At 55.0% G+C, this 1,731-nt stretch overlaps 1 annotated feature.

Annotated features, from left to right (window-relative positions):
* Positions 907-1,411: an enhancer, noted in NCBI's record as "H3K4me1 hESC enhancer chr20:700539-701043 (GRCh37/hg19 assembly coordinates)". NCBI's record gives its function as "activates a minimal SCP1, AML or CMV promoter by ChIP-STARR-seq in naive H9 embryonic stem cells {active_cell/tissue: H9 hESC(naive)}" and the evidence as "EXISTENCE:reporter gene assay evidence [ECO:0000049][PMID:30033119]".

The following is a 1,731-nucleotide window of genomic DNA, read 5'->3' on the forward strand; positions in this document are numbered from 1 at the left end:
AATAAATAAATAAATACAATGATGTCTGGAGCACTTGCCAGTCATGCCTGCCACATAGCAAGTAATCTGTCATAACTGTCACTGTTATTCTGGCCCTGACATTCCAGGGTTCCTTGAGGTGGGGCAGGATGAGGGATGGGCTGGGCATCATGAAGGAAGGTGCTGATGTATCACCTACTGACAGTTTAGAAAAGGGAAGGCAGCCATGTGACCCACAGGCAGTGTCCCCCTGCCTGAGCCTTATTTGCAGGGCTGTGGCATCGGTGAGCAGGACAGGGACCACCACGCCCACTAGAGAAAGAAGCACGTGCTGCTTTTGTGAGTTCACAAAGGTCTTGGTTTTCCAGGGCCAACAGTGTCCCCGCCACACGTGACCACCTCAGAACCATCACCTGCCACCTGCCAGGGCCTGGGAGTTGGAATCTGAGGTGGAAGGAGAGAGCAGGGGCCAACTCCTGGCTGCTCCCCTCTCTTGGTATGTGACCCTGGGCAAGCCTCTGCACCTCTGTCCCCTTTGTCCTCTCTTGTCACATAATGAGGTTTTGAGTGTCTTAGATAGGGAGGATGTCTCCCTATCTAAGGATAGGATAGGATAGAAATGGCCAGGCCCTGGTGCCTCTGCTAGCTCAGTCTGGCTGGGACGACCTGGGAAGAACATGGCCTCAGTTCCAAAGCCAAGGCGGCTCCTGGGGGAGCTGCAGCTGGAGGCTGTCAGCTTGCTGCCCTCCTTGCTGCTGAAGGACAAGCTTTTTCTTGAAGATAGGATGGATAGGATGTCTCCTATCCATCAGGAGATGCGATTATTGGCCTAGACTGGGCAGGGTCTCCACCTGGGCGACGGGTTGGGAGGCGGAAGTGAAGCTGGTGGCATGAACCATTCTCAGTGACCTTTCACCAGGGTGAGTGGGAAGTAGTTGGGAGCATCGAGGCCTCACTCTCCATCCTGAAGATGGAGCACAGACTGGCTGGCTGAGGCCGGGAGCTCATCACGGGATGGAGACAGATTGGCAGACAAAGAGGAGGCGGGCGGTTGGGGCTGGGTGCCCCTGGGGAGGAAGGCGGGGAGAGAGCGTAGGAGCAGGAGGAAAGAAGGCTGGGCTTATGTGCAGCCTCACAGACTGGGCCTGCAGAGTCTCCAGCTGGAGGTTGGGACTGGACCTTCCTCCTGAATGGGCAGGGAGGGAGGCTTGTTGGCCTAGCCCTCGGGGTTCTTGAAATAAATGAGGGAGGGCCTTGGGGGGTGGTAAATTGCTGAGGCTGTGATAAACATTCTCCCCTTCCCACAAAACACACACAGGCACGTGTGCGTGCATACACATACACACACACACCCTGGCCACACTGCTGTGCATATCTTACTGATTGTTGTCCTCTGTGACAGCAGTTCTCCAAGTTGAGTGCATTGGAAGGATCAGTTAAAATGCAGATTTCCAGGCATTTCCATCTCTAAATGTAGGGTGTGGCCTGAGAATGTGTATGTCTTACAGGATCCTGGTTGATGCTGATGCTGGGGGTTCTGGGACACACTTTGAGAACCACTGCTCCATTGAGCAGCCTTTCAGTTTGGGTGCCCCTCGGTGCTGGTGCTGGGAGAGAGTTAGGAGGGCAAGGGGGTTAGTGAGGGCTGCTACCTGTGAAACACAAAGCAGGAGGGAATGGAATTGGCCAGGAGAGCCTCAGACCACAGCCCGGGCCTGCAGAGTCACCCTCTAGGGGTCTCTGGAGTAAAGA

This window comes from Homo sapiens, chromosome 20 (assembly GCF_000001405.40).
Source record: "Homo sapiens chromosome 20, GRCh38.p14 Primary Assembly".
Classification (NCBI taxonomy): Eukaryota; Metazoa; Chordata; class Mammalia; order Primates; family Hominidae; genus Homo; species Homo sapiens.